This window comes from Homo sapiens, chromosome 14, assembly GCF_000001405.40.
Source record: "Homo sapiens chromosome 14, GRCh38.p14 Primary Assembly".
Taxonomy (NCBI): domain Eukaryota; kingdom Metazoa; phylum Chordata; class Mammalia; order Primates; family Hominidae; genus Homo; species Homo sapiens.
This window is the reverse complement of record NC_000014.9, coordinates 91,267,215-91,288,719: the sequence shown is the minus strand read 5'-3', so window position 1 is coordinate 91,288,719 and position 21,505 is coordinate 91,267,215. Positions and strand designations below refer to the sequence as shown.

General features: G+C 51.2%; 2 protein-coding genes across 6 annotated transcripts in view, besides 4 other annotated features; both read left to right on the top strand.

The window, feature by feature from the left end:
- The window catches only part of CCDC88C (coiled-coil domain containing 88C), a 146,498-nt gene extending 129,101 nt beyond the window's left edge, over positions 1-17,397 (top strand). For 3 of the 5 annotated variants that reach the window (NM_001080414.4, XM_011536796.3, XM_047431418.1), the window contains 5 exons: positions 5,203-5,391; positions 7,195-7,263; positions 9,414-9,482; positions 10,509-10,798; positions 15,067-17,397. In NM_001080414.4, the coding sequence (NP_001073883.2) occupies positions 5,203-5,391; positions 7,195-7,263; positions 9,414-9,482; positions 10,509-10,798; positions 15,067-16,095 (1,646 nt within the window). In that variant the 3' untranslated portion in view covers positions 16,096-17,397. Of the gene's footprint in view, positions 1-2,883; positions 3,326-5,202; positions 5,392-7,194; positions 7,264-7,411; positions 7,559-9,413; positions 9,483-10,508; positions 10,799-15,066 lie in introns of all 5 variants that reach the window. The other 2 variants (NR_189158.1, NR_189159.1) reach the window with 2 other exon arrangements.
- Positions 5,344-5,550: a silencer, noted in NCBI's record as "fragment chr14:91749514-91749720 (GRCh37/hg19 assembly coordinates)". NCBI's record gives its function as "represses an EF-1alpha promoter that drives an FKBP-Casp9 reporter gene in an ReSE screen in phorbol 12-myristate 13-acetate-treated (for megakaryocytic differentiation) K562 erythroleukemia cells {active_cell/tissue: K562(+PMA)}" and the evidence as "EXISTENCE:reporter gene assay evidence [ECO:0000049][PMID:32094911]".
- GPR68 (G protein-coupled receptor 68) overlaps positions 17,930-21,505 on the top strand; it is a 38,259-nt gene continuing 34,683 nt past the window's right edge. The window contains exon 1 of the mRNA XM_047431792.1: positions 17,930-17,946. The gene's annotated coding sequence lies outside the window, so the exon portion shown is untranslated. The remainder of the gene's footprint in view (positions 17,947-21,505) is intronic.
- Positions 19,012-19,290: a transcriptional cis regulatory region, noted in NCBI's record as "candidate enhancer chr14.1906 targeted for multiplex CRISPR interference". NCBI's record gives its function as "positively regulates GPR68 gene expression with high confidence in K562 cells {active_cell/tissue: K562}" and the evidence as "EXISTENCE:mutant phenotype evidence [ECO:0000015][PMID:30612741]".
- Positions 20,168-21,197: a transcriptional cis regulatory region, noted in NCBI's record as "candidate enhancer chr14.1905 targeted for multiplex CRISPR interference". NCBI's record gives its function as "positively regulates GPR68 gene expression with high confidence in K562 cells {active_cell/tissue: K562}" and the evidence as "EXISTENCE:mutant phenotype evidence [ECO:0000015][PMID:30612741]".
- Positions 20,321-20,615: an enhancer, noted in NCBI's record as "tiled region #4292; K562 Activating DNase matched - State 5:Enh". NCBI's record gives its function as "activates a minimal TATA promoter and a strong SV40 promoter by Sharpr-MPRA in K562 cells {active_cell/tissue: K562}" and the evidence as "EXISTENCE:reporter gene assay evidence [ECO:0000049][PMID:27701403]".

Sequence of the window (21,505 nt, the reverse complement as noted above, 5' to 3'; positions counted from 1 at the left end):
TGTTGGCCAGGCTGGTCTCGAACTCCTAACGTCAAGTGATCCACCCGCCTCAGCCTCCCAAACTGTTGGATTACAGGCGTGAGCTGCCACGCCCAACCACTTTTGTTGTTTTAGAACAAAAGGTATCATTCATCATGTAGCCGGGCAGATATCTCAATATCCAAAGCTGACATTCGTGCAGGTACCATAGAGACAAGCGACATAGCTTATTTTGGGCTGCCTCGTATGTGCCAGATTTGTAGAAAGCTGCTTTGTGCAGGGAGATCCCAGGTGCACTCAACACGTTCTCCATGTATATAAGACCTCCCGAAAGCCTTGGGTGGTTTATCTGTTACCACTTTGAAAGGTGGGTTAGGACTTCTTCAGCCTGATCTGGCCTTGTGTCCCACCAGCCACAGGACACACTGTGCCTTTTCCCTAAGGGCTGTCCTTTGGAGTTTGCCAGAGGTTCTGAAACAAGAACAGGATTTCTCATCATGTATGCTGTATTTCATCAACTCTCAGGAGCCATGAAAGCTGCACAGTTACTTTATATACCACGAGGCAATCAAACGGTACAGGGCCACCACTTCGAATTTTTCTTACGCTCTTGTTGAAAGAGCTTTTCTAAATAAGAATTCGATTTTTGTACACACACGTAAAAGGAAAATAGGACCAAGATGAGTTGGTTATGACCATGTCAGTTTTGTCACCGTGGCCACCTGGCCAGTGGTGACTGAGACATCACTGAAATTGCCTCCTAATTTCCAAGACGTTAAAGGTGTCTTAGAATCGATTAGACACAGCATTTACCTTACACATTGTTAAATTTTCAGCTTTACCTTTAAATATCATTTTGGGGAGATTATTTATCCCAGGCCTGCATCCCAAGTCATTTAAATTTTTACAAAGGACACTAGGACTTTCTGAAGACCCAGCCTATGCCTGAGACCCATGGGGTCTTGGAGGCGGAGGATATAACACTGAAGACCAGCGACAGGCTACCCTCTGAGTGTGGTGTGTGCACAAGCCTTTCAGGGGGCACATTCACAAGTACCTGTTGTGTCCCCTTCAGATGCAAAAAAAAAAAAAAAAAAAAAAAAAGACCTGGTGCAGTGGCTCATGCCTATAATCCCAGCACTTTGAGGGGCCAAGACAGGAGGATCACTTGAGGCCAGGAGTTTGGGACTAGCCTGGGCAACACAGGGAAACCCCCATCTACCAATATATATATTTTTATTTAGCCAGGTGTGGTGGCACGTACCTGTAGTCTCAGCTGCTCAGTCGACTTGAGCCCAGGAGGTCGTGGCTGCAGCGAGCTATGGTCATACCACTGTACTCCAGCCTGGGTGACAGAGTGACACCCCATCTCTAACAAAAATAATGTTCACGCACATTGTTCAGGGACTAACACACTGTCATTCTTTATGGGGATAAGATTAGATAGAGTCAGCACCGTAAGACAGGGTGAGAAGGAAAAAAATTAGAGGCCTCACATGCAAGTAAATGAGAAGCTTAACTTTTTTTAAGCTAGAGGGGTTCTGTTGCCTCAGGTTTTTATATTGGCTCCTGTTTAATTTTTGGACATTTGTCATCTCAACTTGTATTACTCTTTAAGTGGAATTAATTAACTATAATCAGTCTGAGTTAGGAAAACTTTCAGAGAAAAAAATGCTTGACTGGTCCAAAGTGATCCGTGAGCAAGCAGGTCTGTAAACCATGATCATGTTCACTAGCAGCCACCATGTCTTGGGTGCTCCCTCTGGGCCCAGCACCCTCTAACTACTTTATGTGCTTTATGCATCTCATTGAATCCTAACGACCCTATCAAGGCAGGTGGACGTGGCCTCCCCTGTGTAGAGGTGAGAAAGTGAGGCTCAGCAGTGTAAAACATTTGCTTTGGGTAAGTGGGACCCAAATGCAGGTCGGCCGCACTCCGGAGCCTGAGCTCTTAACTGCATGCACTTAACTGCATGGACTGCCTCCAGTTAAAGCTCTCTGGGTCCCTGAAGATGCCGAACAAGAGCCTAGCCCTGAACTGGCCACAAGGACACCAGCCTTGAATAAGTTGGTCCCTTATTCTGTGGTGTGAGCCACTGTGGCCACCAGGTGGTGCTGTGGAGGAAGAAATAATGGAAATCCTGGTATCAACTTTAATCCTACATCAGAAATTGGTTAGGTCGATTAATGTTACTATAAGACAGTTTAGGAAGTTAGCCCAATTGTCTGCTTTGTTAAGACACTAGAGGCTAAGGAGTGGAGGATTGGAGTGGAGGATGTATATAGAAGATCTAAAAGGAAATCATGATTCTTGGTGTTGAAGGGTTTTTTTTAGTATGCAAAGGAGGTATTTAAATTATTTTAAAACTCATCCTGCCGAAAGATTATTTTAGAGATACAGAATCATTAGTGAATACTTCAGGTAGAGTATTTGATTACAGCGCCCTGAAACGGATCATTGAATGTTCCCAAGGTCTTTGAGTGGGAACGGGAGGATTGTGTGAGCTGAGCTGTTAGGGACCCCATCATTAAAATGGATGAGTAAGAGAAGTTGGGCCCTAAATTAATAAGCATTAGTGTTTAATAATTTGGCACACTGAAACCGAAAAATCATCCAGACCATTGGCTCCTTGGGCAGTATGTAATTCTCCTCACACGCTGAGGAAATAAATTGTTGGCGTTCAGGTGCCTTTAAATTAATTGAGTCAGAGCACAGATGATTACTGAGCCCTGATTCTGTTCTTGAGTACTGTGTACTGTTTTCATCTTTCCTGGGCAAGACGGGATTCTGATTTCTTAAGTACATTTAGCTAATTTCGATTCATTTGTCATTATTGTTCATTTCATTTATTTGTGTTTTCTTTTTCCTTCCTCCTTTGGGTTATCCGATTGATAACAATTTAGCACCTCCGCGCAAAAAGAGTCCCTTTTTGAAAAGCAAAAACAAGGACAAAGACAAGTCTCCAACGACCCACCCAGCTCTCTCTAAACGCCTGCGGTTCTGGTCTTCCTCCGACATCCCATCCTCTCCTAACGAGCCTCTCTCTTTCTCCGACATTGGAGATTTCTAATCCCTTTCCTTTATCATGTGTCTGTATTGTGTACCCTCCTTCATTTCCGAAATTCAAACAAACAAAAAAAGCCAGCGTCTAAAAGGCCAGATGGCCGATAGCGGACCCCTCCTCCTGCCCCCAATTTCAAGCTTAAAGTAGCCAGCGTGGATTCTGATTTCAAAATAGAAGATGAGTTGTCACACTCCCTGGACCATTTCTTCAGCACAACACAGTTTTAGGGGGAGCCTCAGGATATACGTGCACATGTCCTTGGGCCAGGATGTCCGTACTAAGTAAGTCGAGTGGCCGTGCCCCCCTCCCGTCTCTTGCACCTGCGAGCTTATGTTTTGCCCGTGTGTCAAGCAGCACTGGCGGGTGGTTGCTGCACTTCCTAAAATGTACAGCCTCTGTCAAGTGAGGGTTTTTTTTAAGACTTATTTTTAAGCAGCTAAATTTAAAACTGCTGCCCTTTTCTCCTCTTCCTTTGTCAGAGCACTGAGTTGTGGGCCTTTTCCGGTAAGGCCCTTATAAAATGTGTTCTGTTTTGAAGGATTGATTGCTCCATTCAGGCATTTTGACTAATTGGATTGATTTTGCCCAGACAGAGTTCAGCCCAGAGTGAAGTTTTATGACTGTGCTGTGGTTTTATGACATCTTGGATGCTGAAGTTAAAACAGCAGGAGACAGAAAGAACATCAGCACACAAATCATGCCTCGAGCAAGGGAAAATGCCAGCCGGCCAGCTAGGCCATTACCTATGGAGCATTTCCTGTCTCTAGCCATCCCTGTACCACCTCCGTTATTTTTGTCATATCCTGATACCGTCTATGATTACCTACAAAAATATGATTACCTGCATGTTTTCCCTTACATTGATTCACAGTTTGTAGTTAAATGTATTAAAAGGAAAGATTAGTATCAGTCCTGTAAGTGGAAAACACACATATCATCATAAAAACAAGGTAATCATAAGAATAAACACATAATTACTAAAATATGAGAGTCGGTTAATGTGCCACTGACTTCATCTCATGAGCCTCGCTCTGGGAACCCTGGGCTGCCGTGGTGCCGGGTCCTCCAGACCTGCCTTCCGCGCATGCTGTTGGAATTGTGCTTTCTCTGTTCGCTGCTCATGCTAACTGTTCACTCATCTCTGCCTCCCCTGTGGATCCTCATTTTAGCTTCACCTGTAGGATGACCTGTCCCGATTCATTCCACCTGTCCCGATTCAGGCAGACTTGAATCTTGCTTCTCATCAAGGTTATCTTTCAAAATCCAAATTTCCCCTTGATTTCAAATCATCAGCTCTGGGCACTTAAAACTGCACAGTGAGCCCAGACTTTGAGTGGCTGGGAGGGCAGACGGCTTGATGGGTGGAGAAGCCGAACTGCAACAGTGAGTCCTGGCTCTGCACACGGAGTGGGACGCTCTGCAAAGTGCTTTGTCAGCTCTTAGGAATGCCAGCCATGTTCATTTTTATCTTGTGTTGGGAGAGCCTGTCCTCTTTCCTGTGGGGTACTTGGTTTTATGGGCTGTTTTTCTTTTATGATTTTATATGTTTTTATTTAATTTTGACCAGAGTTTATGTTCATGGTAGAAAAGTTAGAGATTTCAGAAAAGCACAAGACACAAGGTAAAAATTTTCTTGCAGTTCGTCTCACCATGCAGAGATTAAGGCTTCCCTTTTTGAAAAAACAGAATATTGTGAGGTTAGCAATAAACTTCTATTTGAAGTCCTTAGTGAGTCAGGTTAGCAGGACCTTCGGATCCTCAGCTACAGGCTTGGATCCTTGGAAGTCAGGGATTGGAGTTCCGGACAGTGTTACACAGGAGATGTGTCCTAGAGTGAATATGTGTGACTTTTACCAACAGTTTATCCCCTCAGGGGCTCCCTTTGTCTCCTCCCAGCCTCTCAGGGCTGGCAGTATGACCCCAGCATTAAAGCCAGAGCCATCCTCATGGGGCCTCTGACACCACCTGAAGCCAAGCCCTCTTGCCCCCACCTGCCCCGCCAGGCCCCATTTAAGTTGCAGCCCGAGAGCTGTGGCAGCCCCGCTTTTGTCTCTGTGGTCCTCATGCCCTGCTGCCCTGCTTCTAGGCCATGGTGTGGTTTCCCAGCCTGGGTACAGGACTTGGCAGCCTCATTTCTCAATGTCCTCTTCTGCCTCAGGCCCTGGGGATCTAAAACCAAAGCGAGGCTCCCCACACAGAGGCAGCCTTGACCGCACAGATGCCTCCACCGATCTGGCCATGAGGTCCTGGCCCTCGGAGCTGGGCTCCCGGACTTGCTCAACTTCAGCCACCACTACAGCCCCTTCCAACTCCACCCCCATCGCCCGGCACCCAGGCCGCACCAAAGGTGAGTCACAGGCCCTTCCAGAGCCATGAGCGTCGGGCCTAGTGTCCTTCCTGAAGACCCCAGGCTCTCGGAAATCAGAGAGGTTGCTCTCCCTCTCAGTCTGAGAGGTGGTGAGTAGAGGGGTGAGGCTGCTGACAGGCTTTGGTGGCACAGATGCAGCTGTGCTTACCAGCCAAGGACTTTGGGCAGGAAGCCCTTCAGAGGCCCAACTGCAATGGGGCCTCAGAACCCACTGCCACCACCGGCATTCAGGAAATGAAGGCACCAAATAGCTCCAGAAGGGAGGTGAAGGTGGGCTGAGAACCAGAGTTTGGGCTAAAACCAGGCAACTGCCATTGCCCTACCTTGGTAAAAGTTTGGGGTTTTTTTCTCGAGAGAAGATAAATTATATATTTTAAATTAGTGTGTGTATGTGTATTTTAAAGTTTTTGTAGATATGTGGTCTCATCATGTTGCCCAGGCTGGTCTCAACCTCCTGGCCTCAAGCAATGCTCTTGCCTTGGCCCCCTAAAGTGCTGGAATTACAGGTGTTGAGCCACTACACCTGGCCAAGAAAGGATAGCGTCTCTGAACTGGAAGTTCACTGACACAGTTGAGGCAGGTGTCCTGTATTGAAAACAAATGGGTTCAGTGAAGGATTTAGGAACTCCCTGTCTCCAGGGTGCCAGGAGTTCACATCTTTAGGCATGAGATTAAAATATTCTTTGAGTAATCTCATTAGCCTGAGAGAGTCCCAGCAGAATGGCTCAGTCAGATCTTGCCGGGTGACACTCAAATCAGAGACAAGAGAAATGATTGCACCCAAGAAACAAGAACAGGATGCTATAAAAAAGCAACAGGGAAGGGAGAAGCATTTGGAAATTTAAAATATGCAAAGAGAAAGGAAGAGATAATGCTTAAAACGGAAAAGGGCATTCCCCTTATAATTTAAGAGATAGGAAAATATCCAAAGAAACAGCTGAAGGAGTTGAAAGTGATTGCCTTTGGGGTGTTGGAAGTCTGAGAGAGCAAGAAGGGGTTAATTTGCATAAATAAACCCACTCACCTGACTCTTGAAGCCATGGGCATGTAGAACCTTGAGTCTGAACAACAGAGCAACAGAGATAGGGTCCTGACCTCAAGGGACCCTCCCACTCCAGATATCTGTTGCAGGTGGGCATGTCACCATCTCCAAAATGGAGACCCTGTTGTCATTTTGGAGGGGACCCAGGGTCTGCTCTCAGGTAGAAACTAGCAGGATTTTGAGGCGTGGGGCATTTTCCAGTCCTCAGGGAAAGGCCAAATGCTTGATGGCCAATGGATTCCAGGTCTGTTTCTGGTCAGGAGCTGTTAGTGCAAGGGTTATTCCCCAGGAATTCAGCCTCTCCCCTCAAGGAGTAGATTCTGATTTTGCCTCTTTTTCTTCCTTCTTCCTCCTACCACCTGAAGACAGCTTGACTGCTGAAAGCGAATTGCTCTCAGGGCTGGCCTCTGAGACTGGAAAGGACTCCCCAGGATACTCAATATTCAGCTCTTTTTATATTATCCTTAGGCCAGAACACGCCTTTGGTCCACACGTTCCAGCCACAGCAGAGGTGGAAGTGTGATTTAAAGGGGATGGGAATCGGGAGTGTCAGGGTTGTCCCAGCAGGAGAAACGGTGGAGGGGTAGGAGAGGCAGGTCCCAAAGGCAGCATCTGCATGCCATTCCCTCATCCCCAAGAGCTGGAGCTACTGGGATCCGGGTGCCAGGCGAGGTGGCGGGGTTCCCTGTGGATGAGGCATGTTCCGTAACCATGACTCACTAGCCTTATTTTCACCTTAGGCTATAACTCAGATGACAACCTCTGTGAGCCATCCCTGGAGTTTGAGGTCCCCAACCACAGGCAGTACGGTGAGTAGGGAGGGTGCTGTGTCCTCCAGCCTGGGTTTCCAGACTGGTTTTTATCCACGGTACCTTTCCTTTAAGCTGAGTCCTGTACGGGAGTCCAACACCAAATGAAGGTGGAAATGGGGGACCCATTCTTCCTTCCCCTCCCCAGGGGGCTGAGCGTGTAGCTTCTACTTACATACCTCCAGTGGTGGGGAATTCGCTACCTCCCAAGCATCACAGTTCTGGAAGCACCGACCTCTCCTCTTCATGCCTTCAAGCACCCTTCCAGGCTGGCCAGGAAGTTCCGGTGGCCCAGGTGGGGAGCGTTCATTTCAAGAAGGTCCCTTGCTGTCCTCACTTGGCTGCAGTTGCCCATAGTAGCTCTGAGGCGTATTTAGTCTTGGAAATTGTTAGAAGCACTTGTCATTGGATTCGAGCATGTTATAAATTTCTGCAGAAGGGAGACAGTAAACAGTACCTGCCTTCTCAAAAATCAAAAGCTGCTTTGGTTTAATTTTTGAAAAGCAACCCTACAAGGGTGAGAAAATAATCCTAAAAAGACCCCTTGAAGTTTACATCGATTTCAGTTTACTTGTGAAAGGCTCGGTAAGTGTAGGAGCTGGCATCACCTCCTACCCCTATCCACGGTCTAAAAAGCTTGATGACATTCTTACAGTCTTCTACTTGAGTAAAGAACTGTAATGAAACAATTGAATGAATGGGAGTCTTACATCTTTACACTGAGTGGAGGCTAATCCAACAGAAGAAATCTGCCTCGTGTGCTGGGTGCATCTCCCTGAGCAGCCAGATTTGCGATCAGTCAGCTAACCATAGGAACTTTTTTCATAAATGTTCTGTTTCCTCTAGCTTCTCTTAGGAAAAAGAAGGGAAAAGGATTTGCATTGCAGTACTTGAATAAACAATGGTGCTTTTGGGCCGTTGATCGCTATCACGGTTTCCTTATACTGAAATTTACTTATTTTTTTAAGAGAGATGTGCATTTGTTTATTTCACATTTTCACTGCTCAGGGAGGGGACCGATTCTGTTTTTAGGCTATTCGCTATCACCAAGTATGTTTTTGGCTCAGTTTCAAACATATTTGCTAGCAGGTGTTTTCTGGACATCTGCTGTTTGCAGAGCACCTCAGCCCTTGGAACCAGGTGCCCTGTGGACCCAGGAAACCTGAGTGAACTTGCCTTGGTGGCACAGTGAGCAGAGGAACCCCAGGTGTCTCTTCTGCAGGCTCCTGAGGTGGCTCAGCTCAGCACCTGCTGGGTGCTGGGGGTGGCAGGGACAACTGAAATGCCATCCCTGCCACGGGGGTTCATAGCACAGCAGCGTAGACATGTTTGCTCTCGAGATAGGGCCGCTGGAGGAGTGGCCCAGGAGAGGTGTGCAGGCCCTGGAAGGGATGGCCTGCCCTCTGTAGGGAATGGTGCCAGCCTTCCTGAAAGTCTGCAGTGGGGTGGCATGGCAGAGCCACACTCAGGCAAGCACCTGTTGTGGCCAGGTGGGCAGGTGCCCTCAGCACCATAAACCTTGATTTTTTTCCTTTGGGGCAGATGTAAATTTGAGGCAAATGACACAAAGAAGCTGAAGAATAGCAAATGTCCAGGAGAAGGGAGTGCCCCCTTCCTTCCCAGGCCCCTGGCACCTGCTCCCTGTGGGTCCCCTGACGTGACACCTTCAGGTGCGTGCCCTTACATGTGCGCACACATGGCCCTGAACGGTCCTCATCTCTCTTCCCGTGGCCTCGGCCTCGGCTGTCCACATGTGTTCCAGAAAGCTCTGTGCAGTAATAGAGGAGGGCCCCCCGCAACCTCAACCTCTGGTTCACCCAGCACAGCCTTTTTTTTGTCTGCCCTCTATACTGGCGTTCTGTGTGAGATTTCCTTTGTGAAGTTGTTTGAAGCTGCAGCCCCAGGCCTCATAAATGTAGATAAGCAGAGTATCATCTGTTGATGGCTGCTTGTGCTGTGCCCAGCACTCCGTTGGTGAAGTGAGGCTTCCTCACTGGAGCGCAGAGGGAGTCCCAGAGCTCCTCCTTCCTGAGGGCGTTGGGCTTAGCTTTGGCATGGGATTGTTTTGCTGCATCGTTTTTCTTAGATGGCTCATCTGGGATATACCTGGTCATTGGCTTTTTAATTTTAACACTGCCATTTCCTTTCAGTGTCGCGGCCAAGTAGCTTAGAGAGCAGTAGAAACACATCCAGCAACAGCTCACCTCTTAACCTAAAAGGTAAGTCTTGTGCTTCTGTGTACTTTTAAAAATTGATTTGGGCCAGGCACAGTGGCTCATGCCTATAATCAGCACTTTGGGAGGGCCAAGCAGGTGGATCGCTTGAGCCCAGGAGTTAGAAACCAGCCTGGGAAACATGGCGAAACCCCATCTCTAAAAAAATAAAAAATTAGCTAGGCGTGGTGGCGCATGCCTGTGGTCCCAGCTACTCAGGAGGCTGAGGTGGGAGGCTCGCTCAAGCCTGGGAGGTCAAGGCTATAGTGGGCTGTGATCATGCTACTGCATTCCAGCCTGAAAAACAGAAGTGAGACCCTATCTCAGAAAAAAAAAAAAAAAAAAAAAAAAAAAGTGTATTTGGTGGTTTGGCTCTGGGGTCATATTATTATAATTTTTAAAATACATGACTAGGGGTTTCAAATGCATTCTGACGCATTCAGAGGCCACACAGTACAGTTTCAGGCACAGGCTGGGAGTTAGAATGGGTTGGGGTTCAGCTCCCTTCTCCCCCGAGCAGCACTGAGAATGCAGGCATGTCACAGGTCCCGAGTCTCATTTACTTCATCTGAAGAATGGGGAGAGTAACACTAGTTCCATTCTACTGTGGCCACAGAACAAATGTGGAGGATTTTGATTCTCGGAACATGTATGGTTTGTGTTAGGGACAGAATGTGGTCTTTCTTCATGAACCTTCCCTGTACATTTAGCCCCTAGCACATAGCAGGTGCTGAATAAGCTTTGAATACGTGCATGAGCGAGCGCTGACAAGGGCAGTGCCTTACAGCCAGTAATAACTTAAACTTCAGCAGAAGCTTTCCACTTTTATCTCAAAGTATTTTGTTTTTAAAGCCAAAGTGAAATTCAAAAGGAGTCCAGACTTTCAGCCTGGTGGGAATAAGCCCTGGGTTTTCGGGCAAGGGATTTTATTCTGATAGTTTGAAGTGGGCAAAGGCAGCACGAAGCCTCTAGAAGCCACCAGAGGGCTGCCAAGACTGATGAGGGTCCTCTGTCTCCTGCCCTGACACCCAGGCTCCTCCGAGCAGCTCCATGGCCGGTCTGAGAGCTTCAGCAGCGAAGACCTGATCCCCAGCAGGGACCTGGCCACTTTGCCCCGGGAAGCCAGCACACCGGGACGCAACGCCCTCGGCCGCCACGAGTACCCCTTGCCTCGGAACGGGCCTCTCCCACAGGAGGGTGCCCAGAAGAGGGGCACAGCCCCTCCCTACGTCGGAGTGCGGCCCTGCTCGGCCTCCCCCAGCAGTGAGATGGTCACCTTGGAGGAGTTCCTGGAGGAGAGCAACCGCAGCTCCCCCACCCATGTGAGTGATCCGGACACGGACTTGGCCCGTCTCTCTTCCCTCTCTGTCTCTTCCTGGCTCAAGATCATAGCTGCAGAAAGGATGGGGTGGGGGTGGCGTGGCCTAGGCACAGGACTGGCTTGGACATGAGAGGCTGACTAGAGCACTAGCTGACAAGTCACCGCAAGCCAGCCGCCAGCCCCAACCCTGGAGGCTGCTCTCCCCTGGGTCTGGGAAGTGAGCTGGCAGAGCTTGTGGCCCGCACCAAGGGTGCGTGGCCAGCACCTGACTTACAGGGCTAGGATCTCACGCTGGGTTTCACGGCAGAGCTCTGAGTACCCGCTTACCCTGCATTTTCTCCAGCAGGGATTGGCAAACTTTCAAGGACCTTGAAAGGGCCAGAGAGGAATGATTTTAGGCTTTCTGGGTCTCACAGTCTCTGTTGTAGCTACTCAATTCTGCCACATTCGAGAAAGCAGACACTTGATCCTATGTCAATAGATGGACATGGCTGACATCCGATAAAGCTTTACTTATGGACACTGACATTTGAATTTCATATGATTTTCGCATGATGTGAAATACGTTTTTACAAAATTTCTTTTTGACCAATTAAAAATGTAGCAACTGGCCAGATGCAGTGGCTCACGCCTGTAATCCCAGCCTTTGGGAGGCCAAGGTGGGCAGATCACCTGAGTCCAGGAGTTTGAGACCAGCCTGGCCACCATCTCTACAAAAAATACACCCGTCTCTACAAAAGATAAGCAGAGTTGTAGAGACACTTGTCTCTACAAAAAATACAAAAATTAGCCGGGCCTTGTGGCAGGTGCCTTTAACCCCAACTACTCGGGAGGCTGAGGCAGGAGAATCATTTGAAACCGGGAGGCGGAGGTTGCAGTAAGCTGACATTGCACCACTGCACTCCATCTTGAGCGACAGAGCGAGACTCTGTCTCAAGAAAAAATAAAATAAAAATAAAAATGTAGCAACTATTCTCACAGGATATACAAAAACAGGCGGCTAGCTGGATTTGGCCCCAGCTCTGCAGCTCCTCACCCTAAACACTGCCTGTTGACAACCTCCTGCCACCTCTGTAGGTCTTCGTTTAGCTTTTTTGAAGCTGCACATACGTCTTTAAAGTGCTCTGAATTTTGTCACGTGAGCTGTTGGGTTACTGAGTGAGTGAAGTTCACTGTCTGCAATTGAGCCCTTTTGAGGATTCTTAAAACTTCAGCCTTTTTCAGTCTTTCCATCTCATTCCCCTTAAAGAAACACATTTGGACTTTGTCTGGCTCTCTGGTAAACCCTGTGACCTGCATTACTAGGGCACAGTGACACAGAAAAGAAAGTGTGTGTTTGGTAGATATTTATTGAGCACCTGCAGTCTTATGTTTAGCAGTATGCATGGTGCCTGCTCTTGGAAAGCAAAGCAAACCAGTTCATCAGCAGGTTTTCTTTGCCTGCATGTGCTGTGCCCAGCCTTGCAGTTGACACGAGAGAAATATAAAACATGGCCCTGGCCTTCCTTCATTTAAACATTTCTCTTTCCCAAGCACTTACTCTGTGCAAGGAGCTGGAGAAGCCAAAGCTGGAGAAAAACAAAGGAGGGCCTGCCCTCGAGAAGTTAGCGGTCTAATGTTGTGGTTCTCAAACTCAGGCGTGCGTTTGAATCGTCTGGGGGCCTTGCCAGACCACAGAACCCATCCCCTGAGTTTCTGAATCAATGGGTCTGAGGTTGGGCTCGCTGAGAATTTGCATCTTTATAAATTCCAGATAATGGTCTTGCGGCTGGGTAGGCACCATGGTTTAAGAACCACTGGTCTGGCCGGGCGCGGTGGCTCACGCCTGTAATCCCAGCACTTCGGGAGGCCGAGACGGGCGGATCACGAGGTCAGGAGATCGAGACCATCCTGGCTAACACGGTGAAACCCCGTCTCTACTAAAAATACAAAAATTAGCCGGGCGTGGTGGCGCGCGCCTGTAGTCCCAGCTACACGGGAGGCTGAGGCAGGAGAATGGCGTGAACCCGGGAGGCGGAGCTTGCAGTGAGTCGAGATCGCGCCACTGCACTCCAGCCTGGGCGACAGAGCGAAACTCCGTCTCAAAAAAAAAAAAAAAAAAAAAGAACCACTGGTCTAGGCCAAGCGGTGGCTCATGCCTGTCATTCCAGCACTTTGGGAGGCTGAGTTGGGTGGATCACTTGAGGTCAGGCGTTCGAGACCAGCCTGGCCAACATAGTGAAACCCCATCTCTACTAAAGATACAATGAAACCCCATCTCTACTAAAGATACAAAAATGAACCGGGTCATGGTGGTGGGTGCCTGTGATCCCAGCTACTCGGGAGGTTGAGGCAGGAGAATCTCTTGAACCCGAGAGGCTCAGGTTGCAGTGAACCGAGATTGTGCCACTGCACTCCAGCCTGGGCAACACAGTGAGACTCTGTCTCCAAAAAAAAAAAAAAGAACTGCTGGTCTAATGGACTGAACAAGAACACTCCAGAAATTGGGGGGGCCCACAGCTGGAAGGCTTTCCTTCTCAGTCTTTTTTTGTTATATGCCCCTTATGATGCTTTCCTTTCCCTTTGGAGATCTGGCAGGCAGGTCCTGAGCAAGGAGTGGGGCCCCTCCCTGCTCAGCTCAGACTGGTCTTCACAGTCCCCATTCCCTGTGCCCTGTACTGTTACCTTTCCATTTTTAGCTTAAATGAGACCAAAACAGTCTGGCTGTAGCAGCTTCTGTTGAAAGCTGATGTCTGGCATGCAGCGAGCCAGCCCCCTCTGTCTGCCTGGTATATTTAACCCCCTACCCCTGACACACCTGACTTCCCTCCTGGTACCCCTGACACACAAGGCCCCTAATGTACACAGGGGCTTCCCATCCCAGGGAAATGACAACCGTATGCCCACCGCGCCCCCACTCTCTGGGCGTCGATGATGCAGGGAGGGCATGTCACAAGATGGGGCTCCCTGCGTGGCCAGGAAGGGTGGGTATCAAAGGCTCTGAGGTGTGCAGGGAGGAGCCTGGTGGAGTGGAAAGCAGCTCTGGAGTCAGGCAGCCATAGGCTTTCATCTGGGTCTGCCTCTCTGGACGCATGGCCTGCCAAACCTCCGTGACCTGTTTCTTTACCTTGATACAGCCTTTCAACAACCTTGCGAGGTCATTTTGAGAATTAAATGAGTTTCTTTGCAATTATACATGTGGTTCCCAGAACAGCACATGGCCCCACAGGTGATGAAAGGTACCTGTGATATCACGGGTCTTACTGGACGCCCACCCAAGATGTGTAGCGTCAAACTAGCATAAAACAGCAGATGTATCTCTGTCCAGTGGCACCATGTCCAGATGTTTGTGTGGGACAGGAGTTGCTGGCAGGTGCAGATGGCTCCTGAGCTACCAACCCGCCTTCAGGCTGACACCTGCCGGCCTCTCATCCCCCATGAACTCACTTCTCTTCCTCTTCATCCATGTCAGCCTCAGGAGAAGCTAGGCTTGCAGAAGGCTGCAGTTCCTGAGTGGGGCCATAGACCCTTGCCTCTGTGGCTCTGCCTATTCCCAAGGTGGTGGCAAATGACACCTGCTCCCTGGGCAGGGGAAGCACAGCCCGGGCGGCAGCTTAGCAGGGACAGTGTGGCGGCTGGGCCTTCCTGGTGTCTTCATTTCCCTGTGCAGCCCCACCATTCCCCCTTCTGGACCCTCGCGGACCCCATTTGTACCTCTCTGTCCCCCACCCCCTCCCATCCCCATTCTGCCTCTCTCTTCTCTTTCTCGGGCCCAGAGAGAGGTCTGAGTGGCAGTGAAGGTTCCGGCGTTTCAAGAGCTGCTCTTGTTCCTCTTGCTCTCGGTGGCGCAAGGTGAAGTCCTTATGATGTCCCGGGGTGACCGGGGAAGGAAGGCCCTGCTCATATCCGCCAGCATTCTAGTTCCTGCTGTGCTTGGTGGAAACCAGACAGACCGAAGCAGTCGGCTATAGTCGAGGTTTCTGGGAAACTTACTCACTTTGTAGGAAGTCATTTCCCTCTCTGGGTCTGTTTCCTTATCTGTAAAGTTAGGGGGTTGCCTGGGGGGAATCTGGGGTTCTTTCCTGGTGGTCCCATGCTGCCTTAGCCACCCTCACCATCCTGCCCAGGGCTGGTGTGTGTGGTGGAGGCGGCACATGTGCCTCGGAGAAGGCAGGCAGGAACTGCGGTCCCAGCCACGTGGGCTGCTCGGGGGCGTCCCGCGCAGGAGGCGGCTCCAAGGACCCACCCAACCCTCATGCCCACCTCCAACCTTCACTCTCTTCTCCGTAGGACACTCCCAGTTGCCGGGATGACCTGCTGAGTGACTACTTCCGAAAGGCCAGCGATCCCCCAGCCATCGGAGGCCAACCAGGACCACCTGCCAAGAAAGAAGGGGCCAAGATGCCCACCAACTTTGTGGCCCCCACCGTCAAAATGGCCGCCCCCACCTCGGAGGGGAGGCCGCTGAAGCCCGGGCAGTACGTAAAGCCAAACTTCAGACTGACTGAGGCCGAGGCCCCACCCAGCGTGGCCCCGAGACAGGCCCAGCCTCCCCAGAGCCTGTCTCTGGGCAGACCCCGGCAGGCTCCGGTGCCCCCAGCTTCCCATGCACCTGCCAGCCGCAGTGCCTCCTTGAGCCGGGCCTTCAGCCTGGCCTCAGCTGACCTTCTCCGGGCCAGCGGGCCAGAGGCCTGCAAACAGGAGTCCCCTCAGAAGCTGGGGGCTCCTGAGGCCTTAGGGGGCAGAGAGACAGGCAGCCACACCCTGCAAAGCCCCGCACCCCCCAGCTCCCATAGCCTGGCCCGGGAGCGGACCCCACTTGTGGGAAAGGCTGGCAGCTCCTGTCAGGGCCCAGGTCCCCGCAGCCGGCCGCTGGACACGAGGCGCTTCTCCCTGGCTCCCCCAAAGGAGGAGAGGCTGGCCCCCCTGCATCAGTCTGCCACAGCCCCCGCCATTGCCACTGCAGGTGCTGGTGCTGCTGCTGCTGGCAGTGGCAGCAACTCCCAGCTCCTGCACTTCTCACCTGCTGCAGCCCCGGCTGCCAGGACCAAGCCCAAGGCGCCCCCACGCTCAGGGGAGGTGGCCACCATCACCCCTGTCCGGGCAGGGCTCAGCCTCTCAGAGGGAGACGGGGTCCCGGGGCAGGGCTGCAGTGAGGGGCTTCCGGCCAAGAGCCCAGGTCGGTCTCCCGATTTGGCTCCCCACCTCGGCCGGGCCCTGGAGGACTGCAGTCGAGGGAGCGTCTCAAAGAGCAGTCCGGCCTCCCCGGAGCCCGGCGGGGATCCGCAGACCGTGTGGTATGAGTACGGCTGTGTGTGACTGTCTCGTGGTTGAGCTCGCAAACCTGAAAACTACTGACGCGCCTTCCGACTCTCACGGCCTTTTCTCTTGCTTGCCTGCGGTGCCAGGAGAGGGTTTGGAATGAGGAAAGGGGTTCCCACGCATTTCTGCTGTTTGTTCTGTGAATGGAAACACTGTGCCAAGCCCCAAGAGGATTACGCTTCCAGGTGTGTAACGTGTTTTCTGTGTCTGCCGCTTCCAGCAGCTGATATCTTTGGAACAAATAATCCACGTCAGCATGGGGACCAATTAGGATGCAATGACAAACTGACTTCCCCCAAAGCAGACACTACTCCAGTATGTCCCAGTAGAACACTCATTTGCAATGTGTTGAGCTCCGTTAAGCACACACACACTCACACAACAGGCTTACGAGGCTCAGGCCTGGCGGGTCAGAAAGCCCACTCCCTCTCCCAAGGCCACTGGATCCCAGGAGAAGCCCAGACTGGCGATACTACAAAGGTCTCCAGGGCCTGGCAGACCCCAGAGTCAGGCCTGCTGTTAAAAAGTGAGAGTGCTGCTGTTCCATTCCTGGGGTCCCAAGCACTTCCCTTTACCCCAGGACCCAGGGCAGCCTGCAGGGCAGCTGGCGGTGGCCTTGGCCATTTGCCCCCAGCCTCCAGCTGGCTCCTGAGCTCTGCACCAGGGGGTTTGGGGACCACACAGGCACCTGCCTTCCTAGATTTCCCTGGCTCACTTTTCTGCAAACACTGGATCTGCCAGGCCTGGGGATTGGGGGGCAGGAAAGAGGCCCCCATCCAGCCCCCTCCAGGCCAGTGTGCACAGTGCACCGAGGGGTCATCCGCACAGAGCGAGGTGCAAGCTCGATGTGTAACCTGGCTGCGGCACCCGACATCCCCGGTCTCGGGGTGTTGATTTATTTCTGAATAACTTTTTGGGTATAGAAACCAATTTTTTTTAATATATGACATGTATATGTACACACTCATGTGAAATATGTATACTTTGGGGGGATCTATTTATGTTCCAGTGGGAGTCACTCTCTTCTGTCGGGAATCTTATCTGCTGCTTTGTGTCTTTGGTCAGATTCCTGACAATTTAGTTTCCTGTTGTAAAGGTGCTTTTCCTGGGGTGAACTAAACCTATTGATTTTTTTTTTTTAAGATTTTTTTTTCCTTTTGATTTAATATACTGAGAAAGAAATGGGAGACTTTTGAATGTTAACAAGATCCATTTTAGGAGTGTTTGGGGTTGTGTATTAAATAGCCATTCATTCTGGAACTCAAGGACAGGACTGTAATAAAATGGAATGGAACCGAAGTGCGTTCTGGCTTTCCTCACTGCACATTGTTAGCATCGGGTGGGCCCCTGGGGACTTGGGGCTCCCTGCGCCCCTCCTTATGCACCCCTCCCTCTGCTCCCCTTCCTCTGTGCCCCTGCACCCCTCCCTCTGCGCCCCTCCACCCCTCCCTCTGCGCCCCTCCCTGTGCCCCTCCCTCTGCACCCCTACCCCTGCGCCCCTCCACCCCCCTGCGCCCCTCCACCCCCCTGCGCCCCTCCACCCCCCCTCTGCGCCCCTCCCTCTGCACCCCTCCCTCTGCACCGCTCCCTCTGTGCCCCTCCCTCTGCGCCCCTCCACCCCTCCCTCTGCGCCCCTCCCTCTGCGCCCCTCCACCCCTCCCTCTGTGCCCCTCCCTCTGCACCCCTCCCCCTGCACCCCTCCCTCTGCATGCCGGCGACCCTTCCTCCACAGTTGGAATCCACCACTTTCCTTGCCACTAGGTGGGGGAAGCTGTTACACGTGCAACCAGAGACAGATGTGAAGGACAAAGATTTCCTGTACGGTGACAGCTTTCCACCCCTCCTCAGGTGTGTTTAAGTTGGCATCAATTGAATCCTATTTTATTTGTTTTTCTAATGGGTCACCACCACCACAGGGGGCATGCAATGGGCTGGAGACCAGTCTGGGCAACATAGCAAGACATTGTCTACAAAAGATAGAAAAATTAGCCAGGCGTGGTGGTGTATACCTGCAGTCCCAGCTACTCGGGAGGCTGAAGACAGAGGATCCCTTAAGCCCAGGGATGTTGAGGCTGCAGTGAGCAGTGATGGTGCCACTGCACTCTAGCCTGGGAGACAGAGTGAGGCCCTGTCTCAAACAAAAAATAAAATAGCGGGGTATGGTGGTTTGCACCTGTAGTCCCAGCCACTATGGAGGCTGAGGCGGGAGGATCACTTGAGCCCCAGCAGTCGAGGCTTCAGTGAACCAGGACTTGTGCCTCTGCACTCCAGCCTGGGCGACACAGCAAGACCCCATCTCAAAAATAATTGAAGAACCCCATTTTGCTATGGCGTTCATCTCATGTCGTGACAGGAGCTCAGCCTGAAGGGGCTCCTTATGATTTTCCCAAGGCTACTCAACCAGTAAATGCTGGATCTGGAATTTGGACCTTAGGGGCCGAAGATACTGAAATCGGATGCATGGTGGAGAGGAGGAAGAGAGGGAAGGAGGAGGCATGAAAATGGCCATGCCTGACCAAGGTTCTTCTGATGTTTTTCTGTCCAGCTGCTGCCTCAGTGTCTCCTTCCTTCTCACCAAGCCTATTTTTTGGCTCTCTCCTCTCACCTCCTTGCCCGTTCTCCCCGAGGCTCTGCAATCTGTCCTTGTATCTGGCCACTCCACAGAAACTGCCATCCATGCTGTTTTGAGCCAGACTGAGCGGTGGCCACCCGCAGTCTTCATCCTGTGTGGCCTTTGCAATACTTGACAGCTGGCCAGGCACTTCTTGGCACCCTTAGCCTCTGCTGCACGCTTCTTTGTCCCTCTGGGACAGCTCTGTGCTGCCTGCTCCTTCGTCCCTTCATTCATCCCTCCCGGGGACATCAGGGCTGCGGGCAGAGCCCTGGATTCTGCCTCCACCACTCTCCTGTCGTGCATTCCCCCTGCAGGCCTGACCCCACCCTCCCTACAAAGGGAGCGCTTGTGGAGGTGACCTCCAGCCCAGCGTCTCCTGACCTTCAGGCCAGGACTGCTGCCCTCATCAACCCAGCTCCCCTGTTCCCAGGACCATCTCTGCAGCCTCAGGAGCCTGAGATTCGAGCTGGACCCCTCCTTTCCTCACATCCCACATATCACACGTCACATCCTGGACCTGAGGGTGGGGTGGGAATCTGGGCCGCTCCCCTCTGCCAGCTGTCTCTGCCCTAGTTCACACCCTCCCGCCGACTGGTCCCGCTGCCTCAGGCTCTCCCCCTACTCTTCCATCCACTCCAGCCGGCTTTTGGTCCCACTGGTCCTGCGGGAGAGCTCCTGTCAAGGTCGCTAATCCAGAGGCAACTTCTCAGCCCTCGTCACTTCTCAGGAGGTGCCCTGACTCAGGGACCTTCCTATTTAGAACACTCCCCTCCACATTGGCCACACTTGTGAGCAGCGCGAGGTCAGGCATAACCAGGTCCACACACGTGTGTCTTTCCACAAGGTCAGACTTTTATTGACGCTGTTTCGTTTCTTTCTTTCTTTCTTTTTTTTTTTTTGAGACAGAGTTTCACTTTTGTTGCCCAGGCTGGAGTGCAATGGCACAGTCTCAGCTCACTGCATCCTCTGCCTCCTGGGTTCAAGCGATTCTCCTGCCTCAGCCTCCTGAGTAGCTGGGATTACAGGTGCCCACCACCACGCCCGGCTAATTTTTGTATTTTTAGTAGAGACGGGGTTTCACCATGTTGGCCAGGATGGTCTCAAACTCCTGACTTCAGGTGATCTGCCCACCTCGGCCTCCCAAAGTGCTAGGATTACAGGCGTGAGCCACCACGCCCGGCCTCTTTTACTTATTTTTACATGTACAATAAGTTATTTTTGACTGTAGTCATCCTCTTGTGCTATCAAATACTAGGTCTTATTGTATCTAACTATATGTTTGTTCCCATTAACCATCCTCACTCCCCTCCCACCCCATTACCCTGCCCAGCCTCTGGTAACCATCCTTCTACTCTCAACCTCCATGAGTTTAGTTGTTTTCATTGTTAGCTCCCTCAAATAAGTAACGACAGGTGAAGTTTCTCTCTCTGTGCCTGGCTTATTTCACTTAACATAATGAGCTCCAGTTCCATCCATGTTGCAGATGACAGCATCTCATTCTTTTTTACAGCTGAGTAGTTCTCCGTTGTGTATATATGCAATATTTTCTTCATTCATTTGTTGATGGACACTTTGGTTGCTTCCGCATCTTGGCTGTTGTAAATAGTAGAGTCACTGATGTGGGCAGAGCCTTCGGTGGGAGATGCTGGGTGCTGATCACAAGTGACAGCAAGATGGTGTCAGTTGAGACGGCCGTTTCAAGCTGCTGAAGTCTTGCTCCTTTTATAGTCACAGAGTCTTCTGGTGAGGACTGATAGTGGAGAGTGTGTTTGTTTATGTCCTTATCTGGTTGGATGAGTCTTTATTGATCAGGTAAAACATGCGGTCCCTGTTGGCGAAGTGCCATATTAAATGTAAGATGGAGTCTTTTTCTAAGATGGAGTTACTTATGTCGAAGGTGCTCTACACCCATACCCAGCCCTTTGCAGACTAGGTCCTCTCTACAGGCTCCCCTCAAGGCACACCCAGCCCCTGATCATACTTCATCAAGCCCAGGCATACCCACAACTTTAATTACCACCTATTCCCAGAAGGCCCAAACTTGTATCTCCAGCCCCCACCTCTCCTCCAAAACCCCAGATCTGGATTTCCAACTTGCATGTCCCAAACGCACCTCAAATTCAACATGCCCAACACAGCTCACCATCCTCCCCCTCCAAAGCGAGGCCTCTTTGTATTCCCACCCCCAACACCTGCCCCATACACATCCGGAGGATGCTGGCCTTCCCCTCACTCTCCCCCGTGGTCCTGTTACTCCATCAGCTGCTTTCAACGCTAAGACCCTGCTCACCTCCACAGCCAATCCCAAGCCACAGCCCCCTTCAGCAGTACCATGGGATCCTGTGGCTAAGAGAGCACCCTGGATCACGCCCCCTCCTGAGTTCCAGGGCCCCACCCTCTGCGTTGGTGTGGTGTGTGACCTGGTGGCTGGGAAATACCCAAGTTGCAGCTGGATATGCTTTTTTTTCCTTCTGAGACAGGGTCTTACGCTGTCCCTCAGGCTGGAGTACAGTAGTATGACTATGGCTCACTGCAACCTCAAGTGATCCTCCTGCCTCAGCCTCCTGAGTAGCTGGGACTACAGGCACATGCCACCACACCTGGCTAATTTTTTATTTTTTGTAGAGACGGGGTCTTGCTACATTGCCCAGGCTGGTCTCAAACTCCTGACCTCAAGTGATCCCTCGACCTTGGCCTCCCAAAGTGTCAGGATTGCAGGTGTCAGCCACCACACCTGGCCAGAGTTTGACTCTTTATCATCAGTAACAATTTATAAATAATAAAACATACAAT